The sequence below is a fragment of the Homo sapiens genome, chromosome 9, assembly GCF_000001405.40.
Source record: "Homo sapiens chromosome 9, GRCh38.p14 Primary Assembly".
NCBI classification, from domain to species: domain Eukaryota; kingdom Metazoa; phylum Chordata; class Mammalia; order Primates; family Hominidae; genus Homo; species Homo sapiens.
The window spans coordinates 105,418,609-105,443,425 of record NC_000009.12 but is presented as its reverse complement, the minus strand read 5'-3'; the positions used below and the strand labels follow the sequence as shown (position 1 = coordinate 105,443,425).

The 24,817-nt window shown below is 41.1% G+C and overlaps 2 protein-coding genes across 6 annotated transcripts in view; both read right to left on the bottom strand.

Annotated features, from left to right (window-relative positions):
- Positions 1–1,249, bottom strand: part of FSD1L (fibronectin type III and SPRY domain containing 1 like) — a 110,257-nt gene extending 109,008 nt beyond the window's left edge. The window contains exon 1 of one of the 4 annotated variants that reach the window (XM_017015185.2): positions 1,136–1,249. In XM_017015185.2, the coding sequence (XP_016870674.1) occupies positions 1,136–1,189 (54 nt within the window). In that variant the 5' untranslated portion in view covers positions 1,190–1,249. The remainder of the gene's footprint in view (positions 1–1,135) is intronic. The other 3 variants (XM_011519079.3, XM_011519078.3, XM_011519077.3) reach the window with 3 other exon arrangements.
- Positions 1,250–4,921: 3,672 nt separating this feature from the next.
- Positions 4,922–24,817, bottom strand: part of SLC44A1 (solute carrier family 44 member 1) — a 193,854-nt gene continuing 173,958 nt past the window's right edge. For both annotated transcript variants that reach the window (NM_001330731.2, XM_006717029.4), the window contains exon 16: positions 4,922–5,145. In NM_001330731.2, coding sequence (NP_001317660.1) covers positions 5,131–5,145 — 15 coding nt within the window. In that variant the 3' untranslated portion in view covers positions 4,922–5,130. The remainder of the gene's footprint in view (positions 5,146–24,817) is intronic.

Below are 24,817 nucleotides of genomic sequence, written 5' to 3'. Positions count from 1 at the left end.
CATGGGGGCAGTTCTTTTCTGTGTTGTTCTCATGATAGTGAATAAGCCTCACGAGAGCTGATGGTTTTATGAAAATGAGTTTCCCTGCAGATGAAAGCTGTCTTTCATCTGCTGCCAATGTAGGATGTGCCTTTCGCCTTCGGCCATGATTGTGAGGCCTCTGCAGCCACATGGAACTGTGAGTCCATTAAACCTCTTTTTCGTTATAAATTACCCAGTCTCGAGTATGTCTTTATCAACGGCATGAGAACAGACTAATACAGACGGAAAGAATGGTTCTGCCCTGATGTGGGCTGGCGCTCTCTACTTGAAGAGCTCTAAGCCAAGTGGTAAGCAGTCAGTGGACACAAACCTGACTAGTGAAACCATGTGAGAAGAGACACAACTAAAGCAACTGTGAGTATTTAGCCTGAAAGGAAAAACTCAGAGTGGATATGATCATTGCCTTCAAATTTCTTTAGGGCTATTGTATGGAAGATGAAGCTAACTTGTTCTCTAGCATCCCATAGGTATAATTAGACCCAATTGGTGGAAGCTACAGGAAGATGGATTTCCATTCAACAAAATGTCCAACTTTCTAACAGAGCCATAGAGAGCTGGAATAGACTGTTTGGTAGTGAGATCCCCATTAGTGCAGGTATATAAGCAGGGGCTGGACATTTGCTTAGCAGAGCATTCATAGGGGGATTCAGGCACTGGAAGGGTACCTGGTAGAAATAACTTTTTTTTTTTTTCTTTGAGACAGGGTCTGGCTCTGTCACCCAGGCTGGAGTGCAATGGTGCAATCTCGGCTCACTGCAACCTCCGCCTCCCAGGCTCAAGCCATCCTCGCACCTCAGCCTGCCGAGTAGCTGGGACCACAGGCACGTGCCACCATGCCCAGCTAATTTTTTTTTTTTTTTTATGTTTTGTAGAGATGGGATTTCACCATATTGTCCAGGCTGGTCTGAAACTCTTGAGCTCAAGCAATCTGCCCACCTTGGCCTCCCAAACTGCTGAGATTACAGGTGTGAGCCACCGTGCCTAGCAGAGATAACTTTTAACATCTTCCTGAACTGTGAGGTTACATCATTCTCTAAACTGGAGGGCAAAACCATTCATTCCCTTTCTGACTCAGTTTTGTAATTATACTCACGTTTGGAAGGCTCTCTGAATCTCCTCTCCCCACCGTCACTCCCATGTGGTCCATTGCAAGAAGCCCCACTTCTTCCTGGGAGAAGGCCTGGGAGGGATAGTTAATTTAACCCTAGCCATTATGATGTGATTGTGTCACAACACCTTCTCCATGTGTAATGGCCTACTTTATGCTGGCACTAGGGACACTGAGATGATTAAGGCCTAGAAGGCACAAGTGCTTTCCATCTACCCTCCCATGGCTCTGGTTGTGCCTCTGAACTCGTCATATTCAGAGAATGATCAAGGACAAAGCAAATTTATCTGCCTACCAATCTCCTCATTGTGAAAGCATGGTGGCCCCCAGCCAGGTTTCTCTAACACAGAGGAATAGACTCAATGTTCCTAGGAAGAACACTGCTCAGCAGCCCCTATCCCTCTGCATATACTCTGAAAATGTTAAGGGCTGTGTTGAGACTAGGGAGATAAAGAGCCATCGCAAATTCACTGCACTTCTATTTCATTGGCTAAGCACCCAGACTCTGGTGCCAGACTGTCTGAATTCAAATCCTAAGTCTTGCCAGTTGTGTCTTTGGGCAATTTCTTATCCTTTCTGTACCTCAATTTTCTCATTTCTAAAATAAGAGTGTTAACAATATCCACTTGATAGGTTTGTTATGAAGATAAATGACTTAATGTATATAAGATGCTTAGAATAATGGCAGACATATAGAAAATACATAATATATGTGAGCTATCATCATTTTCTAAAACAAACTGTTGTTCTAAGCACAGCACCAGGAAATAGTAGTGTCTGTGAGCCCTTTGGTACTGCAATGCCATTGCTGCTGGTGAAGATGGTACTGTGTCAGCACTTCCGGGGAAAATAAGCCTCTTGAAATCCATCCTTCATTATGAAGGTCAATCTGTACTTTTCCATAACAAAGAGTTTGAGGGAGAAAGGTGATAGGACTTATGCTAGAAGGGAAGGACTTAAGACAAGGAGATAGAAAGGGAAGATTGGATCCTTTCCAAGCCAAAGAAACAGCCTGAGCAAAGATGGGCAACAATGGAAAAACAATCCCAAGAAATGGAGGTAGGCGATGAAATGAGTGGAAAGTGCAACTTTCAGTGCCCAAATATTGGGGAAGCATTAGGAGGACTTTAGAACATACAGGAGATGAAATGTTCTACAGCCATGAAAAGTATCTTTAAGAAAAATACATAGCAGTGAGAGAGTTTATAATATTACAAATTTTTTAAATAGCTAGAATAATTTTTCTTTTTCTTTTTCTTTTTTCTTTTTTGAGACAGAATCTCGCTCTGTCACCCAGGCTGGAGTGCAATGGTGTGGTCTTGGCTCACTGCAACCTCCGCCTTGCAGTTTCAAGCAATTCTCCTGCCTCAGCCTCCCGAGTAGCTGGGATTACAGGTGCCTGCCACCATGCCTGGCTAATTTTTTTTGTATTTTTAGTAGAGACAGGGTTTCACGATGTTGGCCAGGCTGGTCTTGAACTGCCGACCTCATGATTTGCCCAACTCGGCCTCCCAAAGTGCTGGGATTACAGGTGTGAGCCACCGCACCCGGCCAAAAAATAGCTGGAATAATTTTTCTAAATACAATTGGATAATGCCTACTATAGAAAAGTAACCAGTGCATTTATAAGTTTTTATTTTGTTTATACCTTTTAGCTCAGGTGAAGTGACATCATATATGAAAGCTCAGCCTGGCTTCCTGTGATCAAATACAAACTGTTTTTTTTTTGTGTTGTTTTTGTTTTTCTTTTGAGATGGAGTCTTTCTCTGTCGCTCAGGGTTGGGGTGCAATGGTGCGATCTTGGCTCACTGCAACCTCTGGCTCCCAGGTTCAAGTGATTCTCCTGCCTCATCCTCCTGAGTAGCTAGGAATACAGGCACCCACCACCATACCCAGCTAATTTTTGTATTTTTAGTAGAGACAGGGTTTCACCATATTGGCCGGGATGGTCTTGAACTCCTGACTTCAAGTGATCTGCCCACCTCAGCCTCCCAAAATGCTGAGATTACAGGTGTGAGCCACCGCGCCTGGCTACAACACTGTTTTGGTTCAAATGTTTGGGTCTCCACAAAATCCATCTGTTGAAATCTTAACCCCCAAGATGATAATAATAGGAAGTGGGGCCTTTGGGAAGTGATTAGGTCAGAGGCAGAGCCCTCATGAATGGCATGAATGGAAGAGTCCTTAGAGAAATCCCTCAGTCCTTCCATCAGGTGGGGATGCATGAAGTGAGAAGGTTCCATCTGTGAACCAGGAGGCAGCCCTTCACAAGACGCTGAATCTGCCAGCACCTTGATCTTGAACTTCCCAGCCTCCAGACCTGTGAGAAATAAATTTCTGTTTTTTGTAAGCCACCCAGTCTGTGGTATTTTGTTACAGCCACCAAAAAGGACTAAAACAAACACCTACAAGTAGTATATGTTTATTTTTCTGCTACATAAAAGTGAATCAAAGACAAGCAAATTGGCTTTGATATATAAACTCAAATTTGGCATGATTTCCTCATGATGAAAAAAAGGAAAAGGGAAAAAGTGGGTGGAGAGAGAGATTAGTAGGGGTCAAACTGTAATGGTCTCTGAATTCCAGGCCAAGGTGTTGGTTTCTGAGCATGTTGTGTGGGGGAAGCCACTTGCATGTTTATGAGCAATGAGTTATTTTAGGACAGTTGATTTGGCAGGAGAAATAGGAAGGACATGAGTGGGAGGAGTCTGGGGTGAGGAGTTGACTGCTGATCCAGAGGCCCAGACCTCTCCTATTCCCTGCCCCTTCCCTTTCCTGGTTAGATCCCTACAGCCCCCCTCACCTCCCACTCCATCACCACCACCACCACCACCACCACCACCACCACCACCACCACCACCACCATTAGAATACAGTAGTTACCTTAGCATTATCAATCTTTAAGTACTTTTGCAGCCAAATGGAAAAAATAATACATTGGCCTGAATGAAGATGGTTGACTTTCTTCCAAAGTCATCTAAAACAGAGGTTGGCACACTTTTTGTGAAAGGGCCAAATAGTCAACATTTTAAGCTTTGGGGGCCATATGGAATCCGTCACAACTATGCAACTCAATCACTGTAGGGCAGAAGCAGCCATAGACCTGAAGGATTGGGTGTGGCTGTGTTCCCAATAAACCTTTATTTACAAAAATAGCTGGGGGCCATATTTTATCAACTCCTGATCTCAAAGAATATTGTGTTTTTTTTTAGAAGATAATTCTGTGATTCTTTTGCGCCTCTAAAGACTCCCTGGTCCTCCATCTCAGACACTTCCCACATACCTACACTGCCATTATGAGAGGAAGTATAGCATTGATAAGGTGTTGGGGTAATTATCTTTGGAGCAATAATAAGCAAAACAATGTTAGTGTGGAGAGCTTTGGAGTTAGAACTAGATTTGAATCCTGACTCTGACAACTGTGTGATCTTACACATAGGATACAAACTCTCTGAGTCTCCGTTTCTTCGTGGTCAAAGTGGAGATAATAGGTGCAACCTTACAGGGCTATTGTGAGGATTAAACTTATGTAAAGCACCCAGCCTAATGCTTGGCATGGAACGGGCACTCAATAAATAGTAGTTATTAACCCACATTGGCTCTATAAATAGCAGAGTCAAAGTCGACAGACCCAGCCTGAACAAGAATTTCGCTGGGGATCTAGCCTTCAGGCCAGTATTGGCGCTAGAGTGAGAAAAGGGAATCATTTAAACATACCCGAGACTAGAAGAGAAAGCAACATTAAATGTGAAGACAGTGCTGCAAGACAGATTTCTATCAAATGCTTTTGATTATTTATTAGACAGCCGCACTGTACCAAATCCACTTGGCTGTTGGTGGTTTGAGAAACTTGTTACATGCTTTCATTGAAGTAATAAGATCCTGCTCTTCATAATCGCAGACTCTCAACAGCTGGTGAGTGGGAGAACCTCATGTAAACAACCTCCTCTGAGTTCATTCTTCAGGGCTCATGAGACCAGTCACCTTTTCTTCAGCTGAAAAAACACATCAAGAAAATGAATGCTTCTGTCCTAGGGGAACATGACACAATGAGAAGTAATCAATAACTAGAAATAGTGTGGGATCGTCTTTAAAGAAAACATTATGAAATGTAAGAAGGCTACACACACACACACACACACACAGATTAACAAATTTAAAAAGATATCTGGGAGATCCCCTTATCAACTGTGTATTCATGCACAAGTTATTTAAAATCTGTGCCTACATTTCCCAATGTATAAAATTGAGATAATTATGGTTTCCTTAAGGTTGTTGTAAGGATTAAATGCATTGGTAAATACAAAGTACTTAAAACACTGTCTGACACATATCAAGGAAGGCTAGATTAGTGTTTGCCACTGTTGGCATTAGTATTGTTCTTTGACAAAGAGGTTTTTAGAACAGTTGAACTGAATCAAACAAACCCATGGTGAGTCAAATTCAAAGCTGATTTGCAAAACTTGATTCTATGGTACTCTCAAAGACCAAAACCTGAAATGCAAATGAAACTTTGAATTTTTCACTCCTGTAATTCCGTTAGCAGTGGGTCAGATCAGACCAGGATAATGGGTGTTCTAATAGTTTGGTTCAATTCAAGAAATAGTGACTAAGTAAATGAACTGAAGATAAGAAGTATAACATGATTCTTTTAAATGGATATTCTTATTCCTAGGAAATACACATTGAAGTATTTAGGACTAAAGGGCAATGACGTATATACATTATTCTCAAGTGATCCAAAAGTATTAGGTATATACTATATACCTAATAGATATGTGTGTGTATATATATAGAGAGAGAGAGAGTATGGACCTAATATTCTCTGTATATATCTATATCAATCTGTCTAGATACTTATCTAGACAACTATCTATCTAGATCTCAATAGCTAGTTATATCTATATCTATAGACATCTATATCTAGATCTAGATCTCAATAGCTAGATATATCTAGATATCTATCTATACATATAGATATAGATATATCTATAGATAGATATCGAGATCTAGATAGATATAGAGAGAGAATGGATGAGCATATGGGGTAAAATACATGTTTAACAGAGGTGTAACAATATGTAGCATGGTGTTCTATGTACCATTCTTATTCTTGCAGCATTTCTATAAGTTTAAAATCATTTCCAAATAAAAAAGCCCCATTAGGATGGGTTAAAAATTAAAAATAAGGGCCGGCTCAGTTTGATTATCAAACAAGCCCAGAGCCACTGCAGGATAAGCAGAAGTAACGAGATACAGTCCTAACCACAAGATGCCAGGAGAGCTTGGACTTGGAAGAAGGGGGTATGAAATAGTTCTATGATTCAGATATCAAATGAAGTCAGGTGAAGATCTGATACATCTGTCTCCACAAGAGGCTCTGCTTGTCTCCAGGTGCTTAAAACAGGTCACATGTGGCACTAAGAATAACGTTGCTTGAAACCCTTACCAAAAGTTTCATTTTAGGGTTTTATTCTTGAGATTTTAGTACGTGCCACTTATTGCTGATCCCCCGGCCTCAGATTTTTCCCAACTTCAATCCATTTGGCAGGCTGCTGATAGAATAAATCCCTAAATTGTTGCTTTCGCCACATTAGTTCCTCACTCAAGAAATTAGCAATGGCTTCCTATTTTCCACAACACCTCACCTAAACTTTGCTGTCTTACCAGTTTCATTTTATTTATTTATTTATTTGAGACAAGGTCTTCCTCTGTCACCCCGAACGGAGTGCAGTGGCATGATCATAGCTCACTGTAACCTCAAACTCCTGGGCTCAAGCAATCCTCCCACTTCAGCCTCCTCGGTAGCTGGGACTATAGAAGCTCCATGCCACACGCTACTCCATTTTTATGATTTTACATACTTTGACTTGCAGTTTCAACTTTCATGATTTTTTCCCCTTTACTGAAAATAACAGGACCTATGATTAGACTGACATCTGACTGATTGTTGCTTGGTTATGATCATGTGGCCTAGTCACTAGGCTTATGCCAAAGTTGTGATTTGTCTGATGTTAAGATAAAAGTTCTTTCCTCCTATTTTTCTATTTAATAAACTTTTTTTTGTTTTCTGTTTTTGAGATAGAGTCTTGCTTTCTCACCCAGGATGGGGTGCAGTGGCACAATCTCAGCTCACTGCAGCCTCTGCCGCCTGGGTTCCAGCGATTCTTCTGCCTCAGCCTCCTGGGTAGCTGGGATTACAGGCGCACACCACCATGCCAGGCCAATTTTTGTATTTTCAGTAGAGATGGGGTTTTGCCATATTGGCCAGGCTGGTCACAAACTCCTGACCTCAGGTGGTCCGCAGGCCTTGGCCTCCCGAAGTGTTGAGATTACAGGCGTGAGCCACCACGCCCAGCCAAATAAACTTTTTAATTTTAGAATAGTTTTAGGTTTACAGAAAAGTTGCAAAGATAATATAGAGTTCCCATCTACCTCATGCCTAGTTTCCCCTATTGCTAACATCTTACATTACTATGATATATTTGTCACAACTAGTGAACCAACACTGGTACACTGCTATTAGCTAAACTCCATACTGTAAGGTCCTCTCAACAGGCTACACCATGGTCGAGCCATTGTGACCCCTCTGACCCACACATACAGGCCTCCTGGAGTCACAAAGCCTGGAGCAACAGGAGAACCACTAAAGAAAAAGAAACAGCTAGTTCCTGCCTTAACTGATTAACCAACTTTGCAGCATTCCACCATTGTGATATGTTCCTGCCCTGCCCTAACTAATCAGTCGACCTTGTGATATCGTGCCTTGTGACCTCCCCCCACCTCATGACTATGCACCTTGTGACATTCTTCCCCTGTCCAAAAAACAGCCCCTAACTGTAACTTTCCATTACCTACCCCAAACCTATAAAACCAGTTCCACTCCCAACACTCTTTGCTGACTCCTTTCTCGGACTCAGCCCACTTGCACCCAGCCTTGTTGCAACAGCCTTGCTGCTCACACTTAGCCTGTTTGGGTAGTCTCTTCAATTAGGCACAGACATAACACATACTTTATTCAGATTTCATTAATTTTCTCTGATGTCCTTTTCAGTTCCACAATCCTATCCAGGAGACTATATTATATTCAGCTTTCCTCCTTTTTTTTTTTTGTTTTGTTTTGTTTTTTGAAACAGACTCCTGCTTTGTTGCCTAGGCTGCAGTGCAGTTGCATGATAACAGCTCATTGCAGCCTTGACCTCCCAGGCTCAATGGATCCTCCCACCTCAGCCTTCTGAGTAGCTGGGGCTACAGGCCCGTGCCACCACACCTGGTTACATTTTTTGTATTTTTTGTAGAGATGGGATTACACCAGGTTGCCTAGGCTGGTCTTAAACTCCTGGGCTCAAGCAATCCGCCTATCTTGGCATCCCAAAATGCTGGGATTATAGGCATGAGCCATTGTGCCTGGATCTCTTCCTATTTTTAAATTTTAAAATATTATTTAAAAAGCTAAATGCAACCCTTAAGACTAAAGTATACAGTCTGATAAATGTGATTTCATTACACTTGGATGCTGTGTCTTTCCTACTATCCTTGAACATGAAAACTCACGGCATAATCTAGCTCATCCAATGAGTGACTGGAAGATTCAGTTCAAAGCTTCCTGAATCTTCTGTTTGTGTCAGATCCCTTGGGAGCCCAGAACATCCTTCTCCATCTTAAAGTCCAAGACTACATCTAATTAACTGGTCCAAACAAGTTTTCCTTCTATAAATGTATGGTGTAAAGGAATTATTATATGGATATTGAATCCCCCGGAATGAATCTCTACTTTTATCTTTTCCATCTTATTTTTGCCCTACTTTCTAAGAGTCTTCCTCAAATTCATCTTTCAACCCTTCTATGAATTTTACACTTTTTTCTATTTTAAATTTTTTTGTTCTCTGAATCTTCCTCTTTTAAATTGCAAACTATTTTATTTCCTTTTTTTTTGAGATGGAGTCTCGCTCTGTCACCCAGGCTGGAGTGCAGTGGTGCAGTCTCGGCTCACTGCAACCTCTGTCTCCAGGGGTTCAAATGACTCTCCTCCCTCAGCCTCCCAAGTAGCTGGGATTACGGGCATGCATGACCATGCCCAGCTAATTTTTGTATTTATTTAACAGAGACGGGGTTTCACAATGTTGGCTAAACTGGTCTCAAACTCCTAAACTCAAATGTTCCGTCCGCCTTGGCCTCCCAAAGTGCTGGGATTACAGGCATGAGCCACCGACCAGCCTAAATAGCAAACTAGTTTTTTTATTACAATCCTCTCTATTATCTGAGTTTAGTAATTTACAGTTTTCTTCTACCTTATAGTCTGTTTCCTCTAAGTTGCTTTGTTGTTGTCTTTCTCTTTGTTTTGATGTCTGTCTTTCATGGTAGAGACTTTCCCCAAGGGTCTGGTAATTCTTATTTAAGAAAGCAGCACTAAAATTAATTGGAAGTTTTTATTCGTGGGTAGATCTTGTCATTGAAATGCTTCATTGTATAATGACTTGATTGGACTTTCTAGCTAGAGAACCCCCTGTGTGAGCATCTTTAGGCATTTTCCTTTGGGCTGGTCAGATTCCCTGGAGAATATTTTTCAGTTTCCTGCTTGGTGGGTAAAGGCCTGGTTGTGAGAATTCTAGGAGATGGGTTGGGCAGTGGAGGGGTGAAGCAGGGGCGGCGGGGGAGTGGGGTGGCAGGGGCAGTGGGAGGGAGTGCGGTATCTTAATCCCCCTGACTTAATATGATACCTCTGTTTTGGATGCTCCTCCCTTAAGATCTGTCTTAACTTCTTCAGAGAATACCTTTCTGTCTGCTGAGCATGAAAAAAGGCAGTTGCCTGACTGTACAGAGTAGGGGATGGTGTCTGAAGATGTTAAGCATCATTTCATATGCTCTATCCTTTTGGCTATCCCCTTTTGTGGGGTACCCATTTAAATCTTTCATCCATTTGGGATGCCTTTTTCTTACTGATTTGCGAAAGTTTTTTGTTTGTTTGTTTGTTTGTTTGAGATGGAGTCTCGCTCCCATCGCGCAGACTGGAGTGCAGTGGTGCGATCTTGGCTCACTGCAACCTCCACCTCCTGGGTTCAAGCAATTCTCCTTCCTCAGCCTCCCGAGTAGCTGGGATTACAGGCGCACACTACCATACCCGGCTAATTTTTGTATTTTTAGTAGAGACAGGGTTTCTCCATGTTGGCCAGGCTGGTCTTGAACTCCTGGCCTCAGGTGATCCACCCCGCTTCGGCCTCCCAAAGTGCTAGGATTACAGGAGTAAGCCACCACGCCCGGCGATTTGTAAAAGTTTTTATAAATTTTAGTTTGGAGTCCTTTACCAAATATGTACTTTGCAAATATCCTTTTTTAGTCTGTGGCTTGCCTTTTCTCTCTTTTAATGGTGTCTTTTGATGAACTGAAGTTCTTATTTTTTACAGTGTCAAATGGAAGCCTCAAACAACTCTCCTGCCTCAGCCTCAATTTTAGCAACTTAAAAAGGAATAATGTAATTCAGAAGTCTGGCTGTCTTTCTGAGCTTGCTGTAATAACGCTGCAATAGTACTTGCACTGAGCAGAAAACCATCTTTGTTCCAAGGTTCAGGGTTATGTTTCTTGTGCCAGCTGTCATCAAGATTAAACATTACCAGACACAAACTATACCTTGCTATTCTAGGATCTCTGGCACCAGTAAACAGGAAGAAAGGGATCAATCTTGGATTGTTATGGCAGACCATATGGCAACAAAGCTTTGGTCCCTAAAGGCAGAAGGATGAAGCTTCCAGGCCCAGGGAATAATTGTCTCTGCTTCCCTTCTTTACAACTTGCATGTTAACCTAATATCATTTTGGATAAATTTAATGCAATCCTGCAGATATCTTGCCACTCCTACCTTCAACAAAGCAAAACAGAAGGACCAAACATTCCGTTATACACAAATGATAAGGTTGTATTACCTTTAGCAAGGAGTGGCTTGAAGAGACAATTGGCCTACTGGCTAATTATTGACAAAGAGAAGGGCTATAAATCAACTTTTCAAAAATAAGAGCCACCATTCAACTGTTTTTGGCCTATAACAATGGTAACTTCAGGCCAGATGCTGTGGCTCACCCCTGTAATCCCAACGGTTTGAGAGCCTGAGGTGGGCAGATCACTTGAGGTCAGGAGCTCGAGACGAGCCTGGCCAAAATGGTGAAACTCCGTCTCTACTAAAAATAAAAAAATTAGCCAGGAGTGCTGGCGCATGCCTGTAATCCCAGTTACTCAGGAAGCTGAGGCACAAGAATTGCTGAACCCAGGAAGCAGAGGTTGCAGTGAGCCAAGATTGCGCCACTGCACTAAAGCCTGGGCAACAGAGTGAGACCCTGTCTCAATGAATAAATAAATAATGATACCTTCATACAATCAGCTTACTGTCTTTGGCAACTTTGCTGCAAGTAGTTTGTTGGAAGAATGCCAGGAAATAAAATCCTCAAATTAAAGCTGCTTTGTTGTACACAGCACAGAACAGGGACTCCATAAATATTTATCAGGTGATTTTGAGGGTGCTGAGATGGGTGTATGAGTTATACCCGCCTAAAAATTACTAGGCTTCAGATTATTTTAGCCAAGCTATATGGACTGGAATTTGGACCTTATTTGTCTTTTTGTCTCTATGGAGACTCTTGGAGCTGATCAGAGGTACAAACTATTTTCAGGCGCATGCCCTTTTTATGATCCTCATGTCTCAGAGGAGGCTGTCAATCTCTTACTCACGTCAGCTGACAGGTAAGCAGCATGGGCCAGTTAGTGTTCAGCTATACTCCAGGCACTTGTTAGAGAATGAAATATACTCATCTCATGCCAGTGTTTATCAAGAGCTCAACTAAGACCTATAGACCAATGGAATAGAATTGCAAATCTAGAAATAAACCTACATATCTATGGCCAATTGATTTGGACATTGACACGATATCAAGACCATTCATTTGGAAAAAAATAGTTGTTGTCCAAATGGGACAACTGGATATCCACATGCAAAAGAAGAAAGTTGGACATCTACAAATATATCATACATATACACCTACATATACTCCATATATGACATATAAAAAATTAATTCAAAATAGATCAATGACCTAAATGTATGAGCTAAAACTATACAACTCTCAGAAGATAAACTTAAGGCTAAATATGTATGACCTTGGATTAAACAATGATTTCTGGGTCATGATAGCAAAAGAACAAGCAACCAAGGAAAAGACAGATAATTTGACTTCATCATATGAATGTATGAAAAGGTGCTTAACATCATTAGTCATAAGGAAAATGCAAAACAAAACCACACTGAGATACAACTTCACACTCACTGGATGTCTATAATCAAAAAGATGGAAACTTACACTTGTCGAGGATGTAGAAAAATTGGAACCCTCATACATTGCTGGTGGGAATGTAAAATGGGGCAGCTGCTGTGTAAATCAATTTGGCATTCCTCAAAAAGTTAAATACAGGATTACCATATGACCTAGGAATTCCACTCCTATGTATATAACCAAAAAAATTGAAAACGTATGTCCGCACAAAAACTTGTGTACGAATGCTCATAGCAGCATTATTCAGAATAGCGAAAAGGTGCAAATCCAACCTAAGTATCCATTAACTGATGAATAAATGAACGAAATATAATATATCACACATCAGAACATTATTCAGCCATAAAAAGAGATGAAATATTGGTATATGCTACAACATTATTGAAACTTGAAAACATGCTAAGTGAAAAGCTGACAAAAATAATTCTACATATTGTATAATTTCTTTCACGTGAATCCAAAATAGGCAAATCCACAGCAAAATAAAGTAGAATAGTGGTTTCCAGGGGCTGGGTGAGGGGAATAGGCACTGAATGCTAAAAGGCATGGAGTTTCTCTTTGGGCCAATGAAATGTTCTAGAGTCACGTGGTGGTCTTAGTTGCACAGCTTTGTGCATTTGCCAAAAACCATGAAGTAAACACTTTAAAATGGTCAGTGTTATGATATGTTAATGATATCTTAATTTTTTAAAAAAGAGAAAGAAAATAACTATGAAATAATTTAGTAATAGATGATTGAGCTCCACATCATAAGAACTATAATTAGGCCAGGCGTGGTGGCTCATGCCTGTAATTCAGGCACGGGGAAGCCAAGGGAAGAGGATTGCTTGAGCCAAGGAGCTGGAGACATAGAGGGACCATGTCTCTACAAAAAATTTAAAAATTCGCCGGGCATTGGCGGCACATGCCTGTAGTCCCAGCTACTCAGGGGGCTGAGGCAGGAGGATCACTGAGGCAGGAGGAGCCTGGAAGGGTCAAAGCTGTGGTGAGCTGTAATCATGCCACTGCACTCCAGCCTGAGCAACAAAATGAGACCCTGTCTCAAAATATATATATATACTTGTAATTTTACAACCTATAATTAAGGTATACACATGCATAAAGAAATATGAAAGAAGATTTAAATAAAATTGAGATCACACCAAATTTCTGCATACCTTGAAATGGTTCCTAAAAGGCTTCTCCGTATTTGAAGATTTAAGTGTTAATGTTTTTACTATTTGCAATAAATTCTAAATCTTGGATGATGATTAATCTGTAACTTCATTGAGGTAAGCACTTTTTCCAAGGGTACATCTTTATTGTTTTCCCCTCAGTAGGCATAATTACTGTCAAAAATTAAGGTAATACAGAAGGGCCAGGTGTTGTGGTGCATGCCTATAATCTCAGCACTTTGAGAGGTCAACGCAGGAGGATAGCTTGAGCCCAGGAGTTTGAGAGCAGCCTGCACAACATGGCAAAACCTTGTCTCTACAGAAAATTCAAAAATTAGCCAGGCACGGTGGCACATACTTGTAGTCCCAGCTACTCGGGAGGCTGAGGTGGGAGGATGGCTTGAGCCAAGAAGGCGGAGGTTGCGGTGAGCTGTGATCGTGCCACTGCACTCCAGCCTGGATGACAGAGCCAGACCTCGTCTCAAAACAAAAACGAAAACAAACCAAAAAGATTAAAGTAATACAGAAAAGCCCTACTCCTAAATCACTCTAACCTTTGAGATAATCTGGTTTTATATCCTTTCAGTTCTTCCTTTTAAGGCAAGATACGAATTGTGTGCCCTGTGGATGTGGAAGCGTATCACTTACCTGTGAGTGAGACAAGGAAACAGCCACTGTGGAGATGTGAATGCAGCTTTGTTTTATTTTTTGACCATATGCCCAGTAACTCATTAAAAGTTTGAAGTGAGTATTCCTGCACCATTCAAGAATATCCGAATTTATTAAAGTTATGAATAACCGGCCGGGTGTGGTGGCTCATGCCTGTAATCCCAGCACTCTGGGAGGCTAAGGCAGGCGGATCACGAGGTCAGGAGATCGAGACCATCCTGGCCAACATGGTGAAACCCTGACTCTACTAAAAATACAAAAATTAGCTGGGCGTGGTGGCGCGTGCCTGTAGTCCCAGCTACTACAACTCCAGAGGGTGAGGCAGGAGAATCGCTTAAACCCAGGAGGCGGAGGCTGTAGGGCGCCGAGATTGCGCCACTGCCCTCCAGCCTGCGCAATGGGAACGAGACTCCATCTCAAAAAAAAAAGTTATGAATAACTTCATCGATATCATAGTCATAATTCTAGTAGTGAATGCATACTGTACTAAATGTTTCCTAGGTAGCACAGCCCATGCTGACTGTTCTGCATACTCAGGATAATGGAATCCTCCCAACAATCAGTCTTTTACAGATGGGGAAACTGAGAATTAGATGGGCTAAGTAACTTGCCCAGGACCAAAAAGATGGCAGAGCTAGGATCTGAACCCAGATGTGGTTGATCACAGAGTCTAAACTCTGAACAACTATACTTCTTAGAATATCATAGATCTACTCCATGTGACAAAATATCCACACAAGTTGATGGGGGAAGGAATAAATTGCATAACAAATGGGCCTGACTCCATATTATATCACAAAATTATTTCTAGCTATTAATAAGTATAAAAAGTGAAAGGAAACCATTAAAAATAGAATATAAATTGTATCTTAATTTATAAAAGAAAATAATTTTTTAAAAATAGAAAATATAGGTAACTATTTAACTGATTTGGGGGCGTAAGGGAATTATCAATAAATTTACTGATTTGGGGGCTTAAGGAAATTATCAAAAATTTACATCGTATAGATTATAGGTAAAATTATCACCAGCAAAATTAAAAGACAAACTACAAAGAAGGAAAAAGATTTGCTACTAATATGACCGAAAAAGTACTAGTATCCCTAATACATAAAAATCTTTTATTCAACAGTAGGAAAAATGGTGACATCTCAATAACAAAATGGCAAAGGACATGAATACAGAATTTACGGAAGAGGAAACATAAAGGACTAATAAATTACTAAAAAATACAAATTAAAATAACAAAGGGCTGTCATCTTTTGCCGTTATTATTAAGGGTGATAAGAATGATGATATGAGTATCTGCCGGATGTGGAAAATGGTGACATTCATAGACTTTAGTACAAAGGATTGGTAGAGCCTTTCTGGAGAGCAATTTGGCAATATGTATCAACATTCATAGAGTGCCTTCACCACTTGATGTAGTAATTCCCTTTCCAGAAGTCTATCTAAAGGAAAGAATTAGCAGGGTGGCAAAGATATCTCTATAATAAAAAGATTATAAATAAAAGTTTAATAAAAGGGAATATACTTCCACTATTAAAAATCATATTTCTGAGGCCGGGTGCAGTGGCTCACCCCTGAATCCTGGCATTTTGGGAGGCTGAGGCAGGAGACTTGCTTGAGCCCAGGAGTTTGAGACCAGCCTGAGCAACGTAGTGAGACCTCTGTCTCTATAAAAAAATAAGTTAAAGACATCATATTTCTATACAAAGATGATCATTATAGCATTATTAATAATCCCTTAATTTTGAGAGGAAATTGCTGAATTCAATTATAGGAGAATTATTGAATAGAATATAGTACATTCAAATGAAAGAATATTATAACTTGGTCCTGCTTTCAAGGAAGTTTTAACACCATTGGGAAATTCTAATATGTTAAGGGAAAGAGAAGATAGGCCAGGTGCAGTGGCTCACGCCTTTAATCTCAGCACTTTGGGAGGCCAAGGCGAGTAGATCGCTTGAGCTCAGGAGTTCAAGACTAGCCTGGCTAACATGGTGAAACACTGCCTCTACTAAAAAATACAAAAAATTAGCTGAGCGCGGTGGGCCTGTAGTCCCAGCTACTCCAGAGGCTGAGATGGGAGAACTGCTTGAGCCTAGGAGGCGGAGGTTGGAGGGAGCCATGATCGCACCACTGTACTCCAGCCTGGGCAACAAAGCAAGATTTTGTCTCGAGGAAAAAAAAAAAAAGGAAAAGGAAAAACAGAAGATAGGAATTATTTAATATGTATCTTGTCTTTACCTTTGGGTCATGAGAATATTATTTTGTCATGCTTGCATATTTTGGGTTATATTTTTTACTTGGTTGTAACTAATATTTTATCTATAATGAGCAATTTATTCAATTCACCTGTGTATAATCATCCTGTTTACTTACTCATTTATTTGCTTATTTACCAATTTATCCACTTAATAATTTGTTTATAGAGACTGGGCTTGAATTCAGGTTCTGGCAGATAATATTTGGGCAAATTACCAATCTTCCCTAGTCTCTGTTTTCTTGTCTATAAATGAGAAGAAATACATCTACTCTGCATGAGTAAATGAGGTAATGTATATAAATACTCAGCATGATAACTCACTCCTAAAAGCTGCTCAAGAAATAGCAATTGATATTATTTCATTATTGTTATTTTTTAAGTAGATGCAAAGAAATAGTGGGGAACCAAAAATGTGTGGGCAAAGACCTTCACATTCTCCCAGTCAAGGGAGTTATTGAAATTATAATTTTAAAACAAGAACTGTAAAATATATTACATTTTTGGAACTTAAAGGGAATGTAAATGTCAATGTAAATCAAGGGTCAAACATTGAAAAAATATAACCTTAGAAATAATGCAGTGCACTGAGTAACCCCAGGACATTCTCCAGTGTTGCTTCACAACTATGCCATTGCCACCTAGTGGAATTAGTAATGCATTATATAGCCCAGAAAATTTGAGATTTTATTTTGAAGTATTAAATGGTTTATATAGAAAGGCCAAATTACACAAATATTCTCCTATATGTCCCCATCATCTCCTTTGGACTACTGAAATACTCATCTAACTAGTCTTTCATCTTACATCAGAGCCCCAACCCATTCTCCTACACAGAACAGGCAGAGTAAGCTTTCTAAGATATAAATCAGATCATGTTACTTACACAGATTGAAAATGCAAAACACCTTGCATGGCGTGGAAGCTCTCCAGCTTCATCTGTCCCAGCCTTGCTGATTACGAGTCCCAGTGACCATCTTTCCAGTAAGAATTTTCTGCCTCAAGGCTCCCAAATATACAGGGTTTTTTGTTTGTTTGTTTGTTTTTTGACAGAGTCTTGCTCTGCCGCCCAGGCTGGAGTGCAGTGGCATGATCTCGGCTCACTGCAACCTCTGCCACCCAGGTTCAAGCGATTCTCTTGCCTCAGCCTCCCAAGTAGCTGGGATTACAGGCACCCGCCATCACGCCCGGCTAATTTTTGTATTTTTAGTAGAGACGGGGTTTCACCATGTTGGCCAGGTTGGTTTCGAACTCCTGACCTCAGGTGATCTGCCCGCCTCGACCTCCCAAAGTGCTGAGATTACAGGCGTGAGCCACTACACCTGGCCCCAAATATACAGTTCTCTCTGCCTAGAATGTTCTTCCTCAGCTTTTTACATGCCAAATTCGTCATCCTTCAAGACCAAACTTATTTCCCTCAAACAGATCTTTCCGCAACTACATTATGTACCTCTATTATTTTCTCTCATAGTATTTTGTTCTTTTCCTTTACGACATTTCATCACAAATTATGCTCAGGTATTTTTTCCTGTTTGGTTAATACCTGTTTCCCCCTTCAAACTGTATGCACCATGTTTAACAATGTATATGTCAAAGCTTAGTACTGTGTAGTACAATAGTATGTGTGCATTAAGGAATCTATATAATGGAATGCCATTTAGTCACCAAAAATAGTGTGTTCGATGGGTATTACTGACATAGAATGTTGTACATGATATAACTTTAAGTGAAAAAAGTAGGTTTTATGGTAATACAATCATTTTTGTTTTTAAAATATGAATATATACTACATACATATTTACCATATATTCCAAATATATGTGTTTAAAAATCTGTGAGGTGTTACCATGGTTATTTAAGTTAACAAAATGTGAGTGTAGTTAGTTTTCTTTCTTTCTTTCTTTTCTTTTTTTTTTTTTTGAGATGGAGTCTTACTCTGTTGCCCAGGCTGGAGTGTGCAATGGTCTGACCTCGGCTCACTGCAACCTCCACCTCTTGGGTTCAAGCAATTCTCCTGCCTCAGCCTCCCAAGTATCTGAGACTACAGGTGTGCACCATCACGCCTGGCTAATTTTTGTACTTTTGGTAGAGATGGGGTTTCACCTTGTTGGCCAGGCTGGTCTTGAACTCCCGACCTCAAGTGATCCGCCTGCCTTGGCCTCCCAAAGTGCTGGGATTACAGGCGTGAGACACTGTACCCAACCAATTTTCTTATTTTTGCTTATCTTTTAAAATACTAATTATTTATCACCATTGTTGATATAATAGTTGAAGTTGAGATCTAATGGGATCATATCCTATATGGGACTGAGAAAGTTAGTTAGTATGACTAGTTAGCAGTAAACATTGCATTCAGGATGACTACTAACATTAGTGAGGTCTGAGGCAAGAGGACAAATGGAAGACTCTGCTCCCATTCTCTTCCCACTCCTCGCCCCAGCCCACACTAGGAGGGGCTGCTCACGCTTACCTGTGGACACCTGAGCCCACAAGGGCAAGCTCCAGCCACATCTCCTGCTACAATCACAGCCAGTATCCATCCTTAGGAAGAAGTATCTGGAGAAGAAACTCATACAGGCCTTGTCTTGGGAGGGAGTTCTAGGGTACTAGGATTCTGGAGAGTGGTATTAGGCTTAGGGTGGGCCTGTCCCCTTAATCCCATGGTGGACTCCTTGCCCCATGGAAGAGGACCAGAGAGAGGAGGGCAAGAGCAGGGAGCCTGGTGTTCAGGATCTAAAGATTGTACTGATTGCATCTAATCAAAATTAACTCTGAAAAATCTCTTAAATCATCCATAAAGTACAATACTGTACATATGTGTTTTATGTATGCAGCCCTATATTATTATTTTTAATTTTTCCTTGTCCATATTTCCCTATGGCTCTCAATTAATTTAATTTCATCTTCCATGATGTTGGAATCAACACCCACTTACCTGGTTACTTGAACAATGTTTCCTTCTATATCCATGGTGAGTAAACCCTTAAAAGCATTCAGATTTTCTTGATAGATTGGCTTTTAGGCTTGATGACATCTATTGCTCTCATAAGTTAATACATCTATAAGATGACTCCTTGTATATTTTGGAAAATGGCAAGACTCAAAATGACAAGTTGAAAGAAAGGGAAATTTAATGATTCTAGGTTACCAGCTTGAACAACTGGTTTAACAGTGTTACTATTTACTGAGATATGAAAGGTTAGAGGAAGAAGCGGTTTAGATGTATTATAATTCATTCACCTGATTCTCTATTGTTGGGTATTCAGGTTGGCTGCAATATTTTATAACAAGGAACAATAGTCTGATTTGCAGCAAAATCTTTTCACATGTCCTTAATTTCTAAACACAGAATTGCTGGATAAAAATGTGCACATTCTTGAGATTTTATTTTATTTTATTTTATGAGACCGAGCCTCGCTCTGTTGCCCAGGCTGGAGTGCAATGGGGCAATCTCGGCTCACTGCAACCTTCATCTCCTGGGTTTAAGTGATTCTCCCTGCCTCAGCCTCCTGGACCAGCTGGGATTACAGACATGTGCCACCATACCCGCCTAATTTTTGTATTTTTAGTAGAGACAGGGTTTCACCATGTTGGTCAGGCTGATCTCGAACTCCTGACCTCAGGTGATCCGCCCACCCGACCTCAGGTGATCCGCCCACCCTGGCCTCCCAAAGTGTTGAGATTACAGGCGTGAGCCACCACGCCTGGCCCATTCTTGAGATTTTTAATACACGTTTCCAAATGACTTTCAAAAGAGCTGTTTCCTCACACTGTTAACATAAGAGTAGATTTCAAACACTCAAATTCTGTCTCCCTCCCTCTTTCCTTCCGTCCCAGTTTTCCTTTGTTCATTCAATAAGTACCTACTATGTCCCACACAGGGCCTGACATAAATCTAACTTTGCTCCTTGCTAGGGGTTAGGAGATGATCGGGGAGAAGGAAGTGTAATGGAGAACTCTAGAGTTTTTAACATGAGTGACTTGGATATTCTACCCACAAACTTGTTTGATTCTGGACACCAGACAAGATAAGCTAAAATTCCCTCTTTATTTAAATTGGTGGTGCCACTGAGAGTTTGTAAGAAAAAATGTTCAACTTCACGCAAACCAGAAGTAGGACACTGAAAATAGGCTTTGCCCCCAGGGAATTATAATTTAGTGGGTACCATTTTACAATGCAAATTTGGCCCTCTAATTAGCCAAATGGCCACAGCAATTCTCCAGCATATGAGGTAGGTCTGTCCTATCCAGGGATCTGTCTCATGGCCGCTGATAAAGGATGGGGCTGGGCACAGTGGCTCACACCTGTAATCCCAGCACTTTGGGAGGCTGAAGGGACAGATCACCAGTTTAAGAGATCAAGACCATCCTGGCCAACATGGTGAAACCCCGTCTCTACTAAAAATACAAAAATTAGCTAGGTGTGGTGGCACGCGCCTGTAGTTCCAGCTACTCAGGAGGCTGAGGCAGGAGAATTGCTTGAACCCGGGATGCAGAGGTTGCAGTGAGCCGAGATGGTGCCACTTCACTCCAGCCTGGCTACAGAGTAAGACTCTGTCTCAAAAAAAAAAAAAAAAAAAAAAAAAAGGATGGAGCAGGAGGCCCAAGGTCAGGGCAGGAGTCCTGCATCATGAGATCATGAGGGCCCCTTTCTGTGCAGTACAGAGGGACCAGCTTCCACCCTGCTGATTTAAGGGGAAATTTCTAACTACTTGGCTTGAGTACCTAAGTTGCTAGATGTAACTCTGACCTTGAGGATAAAAAGGAAGTTGGTGGACTTCCTTATTGTCATCACTCAGGTAGGAGAGTCCAACCTAACGCTGTCACCTCTCTCAACTGGCACTCAGTGAAACACTTGAGTATGCTCAGTACTGTAGTCACTTCTACCAGAGGTCCGAACTTACTGGAAAAGTTAGGCCTGTGCAAGACTGAAAAATACTGACAATGCACCAGTGTGCTGAAGGAATTCAAAGCAGATTCCTGGCTGGGCGCGGTGGCTCACGCCTGTAATCCCAGCACTTTGGGAGGCCGAGGCGGGTGGATCAAGAGGTCAGGAGATTGAGACTATCCTGGCTAACACGGTGAAACCCCGCCTCTACTAAAAATACAAAAAATTAGCCGGGCGCCGTGGTAGGCACCTGTAGTCCCAGCTACTCGGGAGGCTGAGGCAGGAGAATGGCGTGAACCCAGGAAGCGGAGCTTGCAGTGAGCCGAGATCGCGCCACTGCACTCTGCCTACCTGGGCGACAGATGGAAACTCTGTCTCAAAAAAAAAAAAAAAAAAAAGAGATTTCTGAAGTCTTGTGAACCTAATGCAAGATTGGATTATGAGTGTCGCTGCTCTATTCTCTGAATGTGGGTTACTATATAAACTCCTGTAATCCAGAACTCTTTTAATGACGGTGGCTCTAATGCTTAGTTGAATAACTTGCCAGAGGCTCTCTGACCTCTAGTAATATAACTTAAGTTTCTGAGTCATTGTGATCTCAACTTTAAAATGGGAACCACTCTCTGTCTCATGATTCTTACAAGGATTTAAAGATAATGCCTAGAAAGCCCTTAGCACAGTGGCTTTTGCTTACTAGGCAAAAGGAGAAAAAGTGTTCAGTAAATGATAGCTGTTCCAGGAGCAATGTATGCCATTCCAGCACATCTAATTCATAAAATATTAATGCATTCCATTTATCACATCATATATTTGAAAACCAGAGGAACCACTTCCAGGTATTGTTTTATAAGGAAAATAAATAATTTTAAGGTGAAATAGTTTTTAAAACGCTTAACACCTGCCTTTTAAAAATATATGATACGGTTAAACCTATGGAACTCTGGATATTTGTTACTTTATTCAACATTTTCTGAATTGTTTTTATTTATCAAAATTATGCTATATATCTGTGTCTTTCTGAATGGACTCTTGCAGTGCTTAACTCAGTAGGACATCAAAGCAACACAACAGCACGTCTATCTAGACCATCCTTTTTTTTTTTTTTTTTTTTTTTTTTTTGAGATGGAGTTTCACTCTTGTTGCCCAGGCTGGAGTGCAATGGTGCGATCTCAGCTCACTGCAACCTCCGCCTCCCGGGTTCAAGTGATTCTCCTGCCTTAGCCTCCCGAGTAGCTGTGATTACAGGCATGTGTCACCACGCCCGGCTAATTTTGTATTTTTAGTAGAGAGGGGGTTTCTGCCTGTTGGTCAGGCTGGTCTTGAACTCCCAACCTCAGGTGATCTGCCCATTTCAGCCTCCGAAAGTGCTGAGATTACAGGCGTGAGCCACCATACCCGGCCTAGAACATCCATTTTGGATAAGCTTGGCACTGACTCATAATCAGCTCAACTTTCTGGCACATTTTTAATTTGAAAGAAAAGAAAGAGATATATTAAAAAGGGATGCATGATTCTCAGTGAAAGAAAAGAGTCTTTGTAACTCTCCCTTTTACCTCACCATGCACATGTCTCCGGGACAAAGGAAAGAGTGTTTGTAACTTTAATTTCCCATGCCCAAGAGAACGCCGACATTTTGTAAATAAAAAAAGTCACCAATTTTCCTGACTTTTATTTAATCAAGTGTTTTCACTGCCTTGGTCTTTCTAGAACTCTAACAAGAAGTAAAATAGGACATTTGGCCTCTTTCCTCTGTTCCTGCCAAAACCTTGGGGTGATGCAAGGCAATAGGGCGCATTCTGCTAGGGTCAGGGTCGGGGATCCTGGATGGGGAGGGCTTGGAGACCATGCATTTGTTCTGAATAATGGCAGACAAAAGAGAACTCTAATCAAATGCTTCCTCTAATCAAATGCTCGAAGAACTGCTGAACGGCATAGGCACTTGCTGTTCCAGAAGACAGGGCAAGGAGCACTGCATGGGAGGTAGGAAGCAACAGATTTTGCTCTCAACTCTCAGAGCAGGCAGCATGGAAACATATTGCCTTCTTTTTTTTTTTTTTTTTTTTTTTGAGACAGAGTTTCACTATTATGGCCCAGGCTGGAGTGCAATGGTGCAACCTCGGCTCACTGCTACCTCTGACTCCCGGGTTCAAGTGATTCTCCTGTCTCAGCCTCCAGAGTAGCTGGATTACAGGCACATGCCACCATGCCCGGCTAATTTTTGTATTTTTAGTAGAGATGAGGTTTCATCATATTGGTCAGGCTGGTCTCGAACTCCTGACCTCAGGTGATCCACCCACCTCGGCCTCCCAAAGTGGTATTATTACAGGCGTGGGCCACCGCGCCCAGCTAGAAATACATGGCCTTCTAAGAGAACTTCTGAACTAGGTAGAAGGTAGAAATTACTAAATTAATTTGTATTAATAATTAACAGTTGGCTATACCTGTAAGTTGGGAGTTCCAAAGCAAATAAGAGGCTTCTCGGAATATAGATGTTCAAACCTTCTAATTCTCAGATTGCAACATATGGTCTTTCCAAAGACTGGTTTTCCTTTTCCTGTCTTGTGTATGTCTTGAAAGATACTCTCTTTATAAAACTACAATGAAGGCACAATCTCCTTTCTTATCCTGTGAGCTTATTAAACACAGATAAAATTTACTTTGAACATACTTTAAAATCCTTCAAGTACAAATACAGCAGGGTAATATTTCAGGATCATCATTATCTCCCCATATCAGGCACCAGCTTTGTCTTGCAGCCACATTTGAGCAGGCATTTATATTAGTGCTGTTCTGTGCTACAGCTTTGCAAACTCGCATTTTTTTCTATAACCATATGTCTCTATGCTAACTCTAGCGTTCTTCAGCTTGTAAATCTTTTTCTTTTGTGTCTTTTCAAACTTTTGTCACTTGGCTCTATTTTGATTGTCAAGTTCACTGCCAAATTTTGTTCAGTTACAATCTGCCAACATCTTGGCATTTCCAGGATGTTACATTAAGAGTAGATGAGTGCAAACAGAGCAAACTACATGCAATGAAGACTGTCCCCAAAAATGTTGTCCCTCTAAGTCAAAGATTAACTTTTACCTAAATTTTTGAGAGTAAGGTCCTTTAGGCTGTTGACTTGGCCAATGAGCAAGAATCCACAGTCTGTTAGACAATATCTGCTAATAAGAAAGTCACATTTCAGCACGAGTGGCTAAGAGATTCTCTCCTGATTTGGGGGCAGGCCAGTCAGGCACAAGCTGCTTATCTGTGCAACTGGGGCAGCTTAACCCATAGGCCAGGAAGGCCTGGCTTTGGGAATCATTTCAGGGTTGTGGCCCACATCTAGTGGTGAGCAAATATTGACAGAACTGGGGTCCTCTTGGAACA